The following is a 13,181-nucleotide window of genomic DNA, read 5'->3' on the forward strand; positions in this document are numbered from 1 at the left end:
TTTTGCTGGGTGCCACAGACTTTTAAATGGCCAGATTTCTTGAGAACTCACTCACTATTGTGAGGACAGCACCAAGTGGATGGTGCTAAACCATTTATGAGAAATTCACCCCCATGATCCAATCACCTCCCAGCAGGCCCCACCTCCAATACTGAGAATTACAATTCAACATGAGATTTGGGTAGGGGCAAATATCCAAACTATATCTCTATTCTGCAATTCTGGAGCACACAGAATTAGGGTTTAAAAGGTATATTGTGCCTCAGCAGAAGAAAGAAGCTGTGACAATTGGAGCTGTTTGAAACCTGTTCCACGGGGAGGTGTGTGGCACGTCATTGAAAGGGATGAAGAGGGCCTTCTGTGATCTTTTTATGGATGTCATAGAGGAGAGTCACAAGGACAGAGAGTAAAACAATTATCTATCTTTCCTGCCAACTCTAAGGAAGTCTGGGATAATAATCTTTCTTTCTGATATCCTTTGGTGCGTGTTTTCCTTCACCATACAACCCTTTTCCCATTGTCTTCAGTCAAATTGTGTGGGAATCCTAAATCTGACACATATTGTCTGATGCTGGACAAATTATCTAAGCTCCTTGTGCCTTTCTCCTCATCAATAAAATGAGAACAATGATAGAGTATCTGTTATGGGATTGTTGTGAGATTTATATAAATTAATCCATATAAAGTCCTTAGAAGGGTGCATGAAATCATAAGTGCTCAATAAACGTTAGGTTCATTGTTTTTTAAATTATTTTTCATACACTGCCATTTATGGTTTCTTTATTATTTTACGTGTAATTCTTGTTTTCTTCAGATAGATGGTCATTCCAGTCATAAGCGTGAGTATACAGACTATGTTAGTATTAGTGTTTCTTCATCATTTTGTGTTATTTTTGTTTTCTCCAGCTAGATGGTCATTCTGGTCATAGGACTGAGCATACAGAGTATGTCAGGTTACTAACAGTCCAACATGAAAATGTGTGTCTCTCCTTTCAAGCAGGTTACACTTGTTTAGAAGCCCCACTTGTACATTCTCAGCAATACTTTCAGAGTTTTATGGGGTTACCACCTAAAGATTTTATGTATTTCTTCATCTTTTAAAATAGAAAAGTGCACTCAGACACAATCTCATTTTTCAGGGGTTGCTTTGAGCCTCTAGTCATCATTAGGAAATAAACAAAGATTTGTTTTGCATATAGACCATAAAAGTTTTCTGAAAACCTTCAGTGTTGGGCTACACAAGTTGGGGAGGAAGGAAAGGAGCAATATTGGTGAAAAAATAAAGATAAGTGACATGATCCTCATAGGTCATGAAGAACTTACAATCTAGCGGAAGAGACAGAGCCTTGCCTGAGCCAGCCCTTGCCTACTTTTCCACCTTCATCTGGTACACGCCCTCTTGCCCCAGTTCTAGCCTTGGTGACTGAGTTTTTCAAGCAAGACAATTCCCATCTTCCCACTGTCCCTCCTACCTAACACTCTTCCCCCTGCTCTTTGCATGACAGTCTTCTCTCATCCTTCAGAATTTGGCATAAATAGCTTCTCTTTAGCTTGGTGTTTCTTAATCACCATGTCTAAATGAATTCCCTATCCCAATCCCAAGATTCATTTATTATTGTTATACACCCCATTTGTTACCCTCATAGCACTTGCCAAAATTTTTATTCTTATGTATTAATATTTATGTGTTTGCTTCCTTGCTTTTGCACCCTTTTTCCCCAACAAGAGAAGTGATCATATCTATCTTTATTCACAAATGTAATCTCTTTGCATAGCAAGGATTTCAACAAATGTGTTGTATGAGTGAAAGATTTCAACATAACATAATGAGGACTGGGACTGAGGTGCTGGAGGGCCAGAGAAGTCAGGCAACCAGAGCACCCTTAGCAGTTGCAGGAGATTTCCAGAAGGGCATTGCAGAGGGTGCCAGTGCCCTGCCATAGCCCCTTAGCACTTGTCACATACATGTCAGCAGCTTCTTGTTGCAAGACTGCTAATCTCCCCTCTCTGCCTGAGACAGCATGCTTGGCCAGCACACAAGAAAGGACAAAAAGACCCAGGAGTGGATGCCCAGAGGAGCAGCTCTCAACCAAAAAGGGGTAGGCATGGGTAGCCTGAGCACCTCAGTGTCTTTTCCCCAAGTAGGAAACCTCTAAGGTATATCCTACAGTGTCCCTATGAAGTCCAGTGATGCTGAACCCCTGTTGCCAAAGCAGTAACGTGTTCATTACAACACGTTCCAGAGGTTTTCTTTCCTGTCTTAATTCCCCATCTTCTATGAGTGTTTCTGGATAGACTGCCTCAATAAATTTCTTGCATTCAAATCTTCATCACAGGGTCAGCTTCAGGAAAATCTCAACATAAAAGAAGTGATCAGAATCTTGAAAGACATGTAGAATTCTTTCTACATGTTAAAAAAAAAATCTGAAGAGGGCAGGATCTCCATAGTGCACGAGAAGAAAATCAAAGCTCTGTTTTCCACTAAGCTGCCTTTCCTCTAGGACAGGTCAGACTTTGTTTTTGTCAGGGCCCCTAGAAGGTATTTACAGGAAGAGACAGTAAGAGATTGGCTGATCCCCTGCATATTCAATAAGCTATTTCAGAGCCAACAGCTCAGTTCAGTGCAGGTGGACAGAAGGTCCTAAACTCTTGAAATAACACATTGCAACCCAGCATGCTGTGCTCATGAATCTTTAACTAAAGAGCTTCTTTGTGTCTTTTCCTTTTTTGAAATACAGCTCAGGATCCAGGAATGTGATGCTTAACCCTGAAAAGGAAACCTTGTGCAAATGGTTCCTTGAAAACCAGCATGTAGCCTGTTCATAAATTTTATGATGTGTGAAGCACATGTTCAAGGAAGTATTTATTAGTAAGACCATAAGTTAAATTAGGAAGGGTGGTTCATATCTTAAATATTCCATCATTTTTCGTAATGTTTATGTACCCAGACCCAAGTGTGAAACTTAAATTTGTTTTTAATGTATTCTCCTGATAAATGATTTACTCTAGTCAAATGTATTTTCTTTTGGTTCCCTGGATAGTCATGTTTTACAGTTGGGGGAAGATAAGAAAATCCTTTTAAATTACTCTTTCAACACATACAAAGTTAAAATTTCTGTGCAGACATCATAGAATAATTTTCCTGCTGGACTTAATAAAATGTAGTATGATTTCAGGTATATTAGTACAGGCATACTTTGTTTTATTACACTTCACTTTACTGAGCTTCACAGATACTGCATTTTTTACAAATTGAAGGCTTGTAGCAACACGCAAGCAAGTCTATCAGCACATTTTTCCAACAGCATGTACTCACTTTTTGCCTCTGTGTCACATTTTGGCAATTATCTTAGTATCTCAAACTGTTTAATTATTTTCATATCTGTTATAGTGATCTGTGATCAGTGATCTTTGAGCTTACTACTGTAATTTTTCTGGGGTACCATAACCAGCACTCATATATGACAGATAATTTAATAAATGTATGTGTTCTGACCACTTTACTGTCCAGCCACATTCCCCCATCTCTCTCTCTCTCTCTCTCTCTCTCTCTCTCTCTCTCTCTGGGCCTCCCTGTTCCCTGAGAGACAACAATATTTAAGTTAGGCAAATTAATAACCCCACAATGACCTCTAAGTCTTTCAGTGAAAGGAAGAGTTGCATGTCTCTCACTTTAAATCAAGAGCTAGAAATTATTACGTTTAGTGAGAAAGGCATGAAAGCTGAGGGAGGCCAAAAGCTAGGCCTCTTGCACCAGACTGTCAGCCCAGTTGTGAAGAATGCAAAGGAAAAGTTACAGAAGGAAATTGAAAGTGCTACTCCAGTAAACACACAAATGATAAGAAAGCAAAACAGCCTTACTGCTGATGTGGAGAAAGTTTGAGGGGTCTGAATAGAAGATCAAACCAGCCACATTTCCTTAAGCCAAAGCCTAATTCAGAGCAAGGCCCTAACTCTGTTTAATTCTGTGAAGCCTGAGAGAGGTAAAGAAGCTATAGAAGAAAAGTCTGGCAGTAGCAGAGGTTGGTTCATGAGGTTTAAGGAAAGAAGTTTTCTTTATAACATGAAAGTGCAAGGTGAAGTAGCAATTGTGATGGAGAAGCTGCAGCAAGTGATCTGGAAGATCTAGCTAAGATCATTGATGAAGGTGGATACACTAAGTAGCAGATTGTCCATGTAGATAAAATGCCTAATATTGGAAAAGATGCCATCCAGGATTTTCATAGCTAAAAAAGAGAGGTCAATGCCTAGCTTCAACACTCCAAAAAACAGACTGACCCTTTTGTTAGGGACCAATACAGCTATTGACTTTAAGTTGAAACCAATGATCATTTACTATTCTGAAAATTCTAGGACCATTAAGAATTATACTGAATCTGTTCTGCCTGTGCTCTATCAATGGAAAAACAAAACCTGGATGACCATACGTCTATTTACAGCATGGCTTACTGAATATTTGTTCAATAGCTGTTGAGACTCACTGCTCAGAAAGAGAAGATGCTTTTCAAAATACTACTTTTCACTGACAATGTAACTAGTCATTCAAAAGCTCTTATTAAGATGTACAAGGAGATTGATGCTGTTTTTATGCCTGCTAACGCAACATTCATTCTGCAGCCCAGGGAGCAAGGAGTCATTTTGACTTCCAGTCTTATCATTTAAGAAACACACATTTTATAAGGTTATTGCTGCCACAGATAGTGTTTCCTCTGATGGCTGTGGGCAAAATAAATTGGAAAACTTCTGGAAAGGATTCACCATTCTAGATGCTATTATGAACGTTTTTGATTCATGGGAGGAGGTAAAAATACTAACATTAACAGGAGTTTGGAAGAAGTTGATTTCAGCCCTCATGGATGGCTTTGAGGGGTTCAAGACTTCAGCAGAGGAAGTAACTGAAGATGTGGTGGAAATAGCAAGAGAACTAGAATTAGAAGTAGAGCCTGAAGATGTAACTAAATTGCTACAATCTCATAATAAAACTTGAATGAATGAGGAGTTGATTCTTTTGAATGGGCAAAGAAAGTGGTTTCTTGAGATGGAATCTACTCCTGGTGAAGATGATGTGGACATTGTTGAAATGAAAACGAAGGATTTAGAATACTACATAAATGCTGTTTATAAAGTAGTGGCAGAGACTGAGAAGATTTACCCAAATTTTGAAAGAAGTTCCACTGTGGAAAAATGCTATCAAACAGCATCACATACTACAAAGAAATACTTTGTGAAAGAAAGAATTAATAATGGAGCAGACTTCACTGTTGTCTTAAGAAACTGCCACAGCCACCCCAGCCCTCACCAACTTCCACTCTGATCAGTCAGCAACCATCAACTTTGAGGCAAGACCCTCCACCAGCAAAAAGATTATGACTCACAGAAGACTAAGATGATCATTAGCAATTTTTAGCAATAAAGCATTTTTTAATTAAGGTATACATATTTTTCAGATGTAGTGCTGTTTCATACTTACAGACTACAGTATAATGTAAACATAAATTTTATATGCATTAGGAAACCAAAAATTCTGCATGACTCACTTTCTTTAGCTATTCACTTTGTTGTGGCAGTCTGGAACCCAACCCGCAGTAACTCCAAGGGTATGTCTATATCCCTGAAAATTAAAGCATTTTGCATTCAGGCCACTATGAAGAATTTGAAAACTGGTTAGTCACAGCAGCGTCTGTGAAAGTCATATTTAGCATAATCAAATTTAGGAGAGGCTCATATTGGTACACAGGTTCTAATGGGCTATGGCCCTTAGTCTCTGATTTCAGCAAAACTCCTAACTAGAGCACTCCAACAGAGAGCTATGGTTGAAAAAGTATACATTTTGAAGAACTGAAAAACCATTATAACCACACTGTGATGGTAAAGTCCTGTAAAATCATAATTATTTATACTACAGACTATGCTGCCTATTGTATTGACAGCTGTGCATTATCCTAGAGTCTCTTTGTGTGAATATGGTTAACTTTACACATCTAAAAGATAATATATTTTTTAAAGAATATAAATCTTTCTGTATTTTTAAAACAAAGTATATTATAGGTGAGTGTGTGTGGGTGCTATTTTATAATGGAAAAAAAAGCTCATATAGAAACAAAAATTCATCGAAACATGCTATGGAAGTATGTAGTGTGTGCCCTAATCAGATGCTTCACTTCTTGAATGAACAATGTAGTCAAAATATAAACTCAACGTTTAAAGAAAATTCATCTTGTGAAAATGATTTTTCAATCACTGTGTATTATATTTCCCTGCCACATGGTCACTGAAACTCTCTGGAAAGTGATAATGACCTTAAGTAAAACCAAAAAGGCATGGATCACTGAAATATAGTGGCACATACTAAAGAAGAGAAGCTAGCTGATTTTTCAGTGTGCAAAGCCTTGGTTCATTTCACCAAAGGTGAATAGCAATGTTGTTTCAGTGTTGTGCAATGAAACCTGCTCATAGTGCTTTTCCTGCATTTAAAATTCTGACTAGGAGCCAAGGTTTATCTTTAAACACCCATGCTTGAACAAGTTCAGACAAAATGTTCCTAATTGTAACTTGCTCTGCTTTCATTTTTATCTAGTAGATTTCCTTTATGAGGGACAGACTAAGCTATGGATATTCAGACACAGGACATAAAAATACCCATGATGATAGTACTTCAAGGCATCAAGTGTTTATTTTATATGCAGTTGTTAAAATTATAGATTTTTGAATCAGTCACTTGGATTTGACTAAGTAGTCTTATAAATCATTAGCTGCATGACTTGGAACTCTGTTCCCTTCTCTATAACACAGCAACACTGAAAACATCTGTTACATATATTTGCTGTGGAGATTAAAAGAAATAAGGTACTAGCACTGTGCCTGACCTATTCAGCAAATATTAGCTATTATTATTGATACTATGGATCTTCTATGTGCCATGTACTGTACCAAACTCCTTTCATAATATTATTACATGGTCATAAAAGATCTGCAGAGTAAGCATAACTGTCTCTATTTTATAAAAGAGTGAGACACAGAGAAGAAGCCAAGAAATGATAGCACCTGGTAAGAGGCTGGACAATGATTCAAACCCAAGTCTCTTGCCTCCATGCTCTTTTCTTCATGCATGACCTATCTAGTGCAGTACCAGTCACATACATATGGCTATTTATTTAAATTAATTAAAATTAAATAAACACTTTAGTGCCTCTGTTTCGCCAGCCAGATGTCAAATCTCAATAACCATGTGTTTCTAGTAGCTATGATATTGGACAGCACAGATATGGAATATTTCCATTATTGCAGAAAGCCCTATTGGACAGTACTATAGTCTGTACCACTATCATCTCTCTAGGCTGCTTTACTCTCAATAGGAAACAATACATTTTTCTTAAAATCTTAATAAATGCTCATATATAAATTACTTAAACAGCTGTAGTAAAGGCAACACATTTACTATAGATAATCATGTAGACAATACCTAATTCCATACAACAGTCTACATAGGAATAGAAAATACATTTTTGGACCAATTACCACAGTGCCAGAAAACTAGAATTTTCAGCTGCTATTTAGGCAAACGTTTTATTCAGTGATAAGAACAAATGGTGATGGGAAATCGAAAAATCAATATGAAAATGCCAAGTGAGTCTTTAACATCCCATCCACTTCTAATACTCCATGAGCCCCTGATTTCTAACAAGCTTAAAGCTGTTTTCAATAAATCTTTTAATGTTCTGGACATGGTCCACTTAGGTGTGAGCTTTGGAAAGAGGAAATGGTGATTTGTTATTCATGCCCTTAACACTGATGTTTTGGCCAGTAAATTTTTCTTCTCACTAAAACCCAAATGACCTTTCTAGTTAGGCAGTCAGTATGTAATTTGTATAACATTTATCATCCTCTTCCTGCCAACCTTTTTAATTGGTATCAGATATTACAATCAGAGGACTGTAAACACAATGAGCAAATGGGAGTGGCAAAGCAAACAATCACATAATCCAATATTCAAAACAAAGCCACATCTATTGCCTCTCTGAGAAGAGGCTCTTACCATATGAAATCAATCCCGTTTTCTTTTGGAAATAGTTTAAGTATGAGGGACTGCCCTGGGGAACTTCACGAACATGAAAGAGTAGCTGGGCATCAAGAAAGAACACTAGACAAGGGATCGGAAAATTGAATACCTATTGGGGGAAACTGCCCCCAATATTTCAACGTAGGTTCTTTCTATTTTCCATAAGTGTCAGCTGGCTGAGAAATAGAGAGACGGTACAAAGAGAGGAACTTTACAGCTGGGCTGCTGGGGGTGACATCGCATATCAGTAGGACCATGATGCCAGCCTGAGTCTCAGACCAGCAAGTTTTTATTAAGGGTTTCAAAAAGGGTGGGGGTGTAAGAACAGGGAGTAGGTACAAAGATCACATGCTTCAAAGGGCAAAAAGCAGAACTACTAGTAAGGGTCTAACAAAGATCACATGCTTCTGAGGGAATAGGACAAAGGGCAAAAGCAGAACTACTGGTAAGGGTTTAACAAAGATCACAAGGCAAAGGGCAAAAGCAGAACTACTGATAAGGGTCTATTTTCAGCGGTGCACGTATTGTCTGGATAAACATCTTAAACAACAGAAAACAGGGTTTGAGAGCAGAGAGCCAGTCTGACCACAAATTTACCAGGGCAGAGTTTTTCCCCACACTAGTAAGCCTGAGGGTACTTCAGGAGACCAGGGCATATCTCAGTCCTTATCTCAAACACATAAAACAGACATTCCCAGAGCAGCCGTTTATAGACCTCCCCCAGGAATGCATTCCTTTCCCAGGGTATTAATATTAATATTCCTTGCTAGGAAAAGAATTTAGCGATCTCTTCCCTACTTGCACGTCCATTTATAGGCTCTCTGCAAGAAGAAAAACATGGCTCTTTTTGCCCAACCCCGCAGGCAGTCAGACCTTATGGTTGTCTTCTGTTTTACAATCAATTTATACAGTTAACACAATTATCACAGTGGCCCTGAGGTGATGTATATCCTCAGCTTATGAAGATAGCAGGATTAAGAGATTAAAGTAAAGGCAGGCATAAGAAATTATAAAAGTATTATTTGGGAACTGATAAATGTCCATGAAATCTTCACAATTTATGTTCCTCTGCCGCAGCTTCAGCCAGTCCCTCCATTCAGGGTCCCTGACTTCCTGCAACAGACAACTTCTTGGTATCCTGAACATATCTCAACTATAGCAGTGATTATATTTTGTTTTAATTGCCACCTTCCATGTCAAATTCTCCTATAGACTGTGAACTCTTCAAAACCTACTGCATATCACCATGCCTTGTGACATGATAAAATATTAGCCTTATTGAAAAGATAAACCAACAAATGACTATTGATTGGGTAGCTCATATAATCAAGAAATACCAATAAACTGTATCAAACCATCCTTCCTCCCTCCCCCAAAATGTATAATCATCCTGAAACCTTCATGCCTCATTGTCTGTTATTGATTTAACCAACTTGCTCTGGTCTAATAAAACATGGCCCATGTGCTGACCTGTTTCTCTTTGCCAAAGTGACTTGGTTAATATTAAATTCTAAGGTTTTCTCAAATATCAGAAGCACTTGAAAAGCAATGCTTAAAGAACTGGAAAGACTGTAGTTCTTTCAGTTCTGGTTACTCCTCACAGAGAGAAAAGAGTTAAAATTAGGGATTCAGAACCAGTGGCTGGATATCACCTCAACTTTCAGAGATGATACAGTAAGTCACCGAGGCCTGTGGAATGTGTTCAGTACTAACGAATATTAGCATAGTAAAAAATAATTAATGCAGCTCTAGGGAGGCCTAATTTACACTTAGCAATTTTCGTCCTGGAAATTCTGGCTCATTATGCAAACTGCTGTGCTTAATAACCCAGAAACTTTGACAATATATGCATTTATAGCCTAATTAGGCTTTCATACATACACACACCTACTAACCTATGCCAATGTCCTTATGCAACTAGCTGGTGGAAGAGCAAGAAGTGGCTCCGTGCACCTGCATGTATCTTTTTACTACTAAAGCCACTATCTGACGCCTACAAAAATTCCTATTTCTGCAGAAACAGCTATGCTGACATCAAAGAAGCAATGGTTTCCAGTCCACAACTACTACAAGAGGCACCATTCTTCATTCTTAAACAGGGGGCTTTATTTTGTTTCTATAAAATGACACATTCCCCAGCTAGAAAAGAAGAGCATTGCTCACAATGATATTGAGATCGCAAGTTCTCATTCTGTCACTTTTTAGGAAGGCTTACCTTCCTAGGGCAATTTTCTTACCAAGGAAGGAAGAAATCAAACGGATCAGCTAGAGTCAGGCTTTTCCTGAATTCAGTTGGTAATATCTGTTTTAGTTTCCTTGGCAAATTTGCATTTCCTCTGTGTTCCACTTCCTTTGGGAGAGCCCGGTTTGCAAGCCAATTATTTTTTACATTTTTCTTTCTGTTTTCTCAATTAAGCATTTTTATGAGCATTTAATCATGAAGAATGAGAGAGCTAACGGAAAGCATTTGACCTTATCTGTGTGGCGCTCCCACTAAAAGGTCTATGCATTCCAGGAATATACCTTCATCTTTTCTTGCTGACCCCAAAGGATCACTTGATCCCAGAGGTTGCTTCTTAACAGGTGAAATAAGAGGAAAGAAGAGCTGTACCTACCATATCAAAGCTCTCCTCAACCCCCAGCTCCCAAGAGTAGACATATGCTGTTCTAATCTACCATTTTGATTTTATCATCTATTTGGAGTTGAGCAATATAACTTGGCTGTTAACACATACAGTATCTCAGAGTTATTTCTAAGCAGTGTCCATGAAGAGAAGCCCTAAGAACATACAGATCAAGAGTCATTCATCAGCTAAACAATATTCCCTTAACAAATGGGGCATATTGAATACCTGCTATGGGCCAGACACAGTTATAAGCAGGAGGCATATAACAGACTGGTGTGGTGCCAAGGAAGAAAGGCCTAGTGACTTGGGCATTTCTAATATGAATAACATTTAATAAAGTCCATTATAAATCAACAATCAACTTTAATGAACTAGCCCCTTCTCTGAGGTTATCGTCTTATGTAAAAAGAATGTAATCCCATCTGATTTCTTCATTTTATCAATTCACAGAATGCCAATACTGGGGCTCAGAGCTCCAGCTACCCACTTTGGATTTTGAAGATGTTTTAAGATATGATGAACACGCATACAAGTGGCTCTCCACCCTCAAGAAAGTAGGCATAGTAAGACTCACCGGAGCATCTGACAAACCAGGAGAAGTTTCAAAACTTGGGAAAAGGATGGGTTTCCTCTATCTCACATTTTATGGGTGAGTCACCAAATGGTTTGTATTCTGCCATCACAGATAAGGTTTGAAATAGTTCCCAACTGAGGACGACCGCCTTGATTGAAGATACAGAAATTCTCATAATGTCTTGAGTAGGAAGTCAGATAAAAAGAAGAGTCTAAAAGTAGTATTTTGCTGAGAATGATAATTTTTTAAGAGACCAAAAGCCCAAAGACACCAGGCACCAAAGACATCAGGCTAGTTATAGGTGGTGTATATAATCTGCTTGGGCTGCCATAACGAAATATCACAGATCAGATAACTTAAACAGCAGAAAATTATTTATTTGTTTTTTTACAGTTCTGGAAACTGGAAGTCTAAGATCAAGGTTCTGGCAGGGTTGGTTTCTGATGAGGCTTATGTCTTGTGGCATGCAGATGACTGCCTTCTCACTGTGTCCTCGCATAGCCTTTCTTCTGTGCATAGCACACTCCTGCTGTCTCTTCTTCTTCTGATATGGACACCAGTCCTATTAGCTTAGGGCCCAGGGCTCCATCTCCAAGCATTGGGGGTTAGGGCTTCAACATATGAATTTGGGGGGACATAATTTATTCCGTAACAGGTGAGATGAAAGACTGTGTTTCTCCAAGACTTTACAACATATTAAACTTTATGTTAAAGTTCATTAAACTTTTACCTCCCAAGAGTTGGCTGAAAATAAAGTTGGGCCCTGAGAAATTAAAATCAGTCACAGACATGTTTAAAAGATAAAACTAACATTCATAAAATTAGGCCTATGTGGTTTAGTAAGTAACAGGGAGATATAATTGATTTTAACTTTGGAACAAGAGGCTGTTTGCATAAGAATTTCCTGGGAGGTAACATTAATTATGGATGGTTAAACACTAACAACAGGAAACACTTATGTAGATGTGGGAGTATAACTGTATTTCTTTAGAGTGAGTCCCTTATGTGGGATTAATGCAATTATTCTTGGGCTCATAGAGTAGAGAGCATTGAAAGTGAAAGGGACCTTCCAACTCCAAAGGTTACAACTGGAAGCACACGAGCTGTATTCAGATGTTTGGTTTGGCCCACATGATGTTGAAAGAAAATGGAATTAGTCGTTACCACTTGAAAACTGGGAGATTTTACATTACATGTGGACCTGACTTTTCTTGAAAAATCATATCTAGCAACAACAGAGCCTAAATCCTTGCATGCCAACAATCTACTGGATACAAGTAGAGGCTGCCCTTGAAGAGAGGTAGACTCACTCTCCAGTTTGCCAGAATCCTCCACGCTCTCCAGACCTGCAAGGGCCCTGCTACTCTTTACGTTTGCCACCCCTAAACTAGAGTAAGACTTGGTCTGTAGATAAACAGGAGACCAAAAATATTCAATCACTGAAAGACTCTGCCATCTCTGCCATGTTTAGACTTAGACAACACAGCACCTACTCTGACTCCGAAACTTACATTTACCATTAGTGGATTTGTGTTGTATAAAATTTGTATCTCCCTTACACCTGCAAGAATTTGAGCTGCCCTAGAGATTACAGCAACAACAACAGACAAAGGAAAGAGGGGGAAAAGTCTCAAAATTATTAAGAGCCTTAACTGTATTATGTATTGTTCATTTAATTGTCACAACAACTTTCTGAAATAAATATTATCCTTCAGTTCACTGATAAGGAAACTGAAGCGCAGAGAATTAATCTGTAACCCAAGTGCCCACAGATAGTAATAAAGGAACCAGAGTCTGTCCTATCTATGGACTTTCTGCTCTACCTTGCTGTCAATAATATGAAGAAAGCACATGGAAAAGAAGAGCTTTTAGCCACTGGTGTTAAACAGGACACTTTGAAACAAATCTCTTCTAAGTCGTT

At 38.4% G+C, this 13,181-nt stretch overlaps 1 protein-coding gene and 1 long non-coding RNA gene across 12 annotated transcripts in view; one reads left to right on the plus strand and one right to left on the minus strand.

Annotated features, from left to right (window-relative positions):
• BBOX1 (gamma-butyrobetaine hydroxylase 1) overlaps positions 1 to 13,181 on the plus strand; it is an 86,995-nt gene that overhangs the window by 41,217 nt on the left and 32,597 nt on the right. For all 9 annotated transcript variants that reach the window (NM_003986.3, NM_001376260.1, XM_047427692.1 and 6 more), the window contains one exon: positions 11,137 to 11,335. In NM_003986.3, coding sequence (NP_003977.1) covers positions 11,137 to 11,335 — 199 coding nt within the window. The remainder of the gene's footprint in view (positions 1 to 11,136; positions 11,336 to 13,181) is intronic.
• The window catches only part of BBOX1-AS1 (BBOX1 antisense RNA 1), a 172,928-nt gene that overhangs the window by 34,846 nt on the left and 124,901 nt on the right, over positions 1 to 13,181 (minus strand). The window lies entirely within an intron of this gene.

This window comes from Homo sapiens, chromosome 11 (genome assembly GCF_000001405.40).
Source record: "Homo sapiens chromosome 11, GRCh38.p14 Primary Assembly".
NCBI lineage: Eukaryota > Metazoa > Chordata > Mammalia > Primates > Hominidae > Homo > Homo sapiens.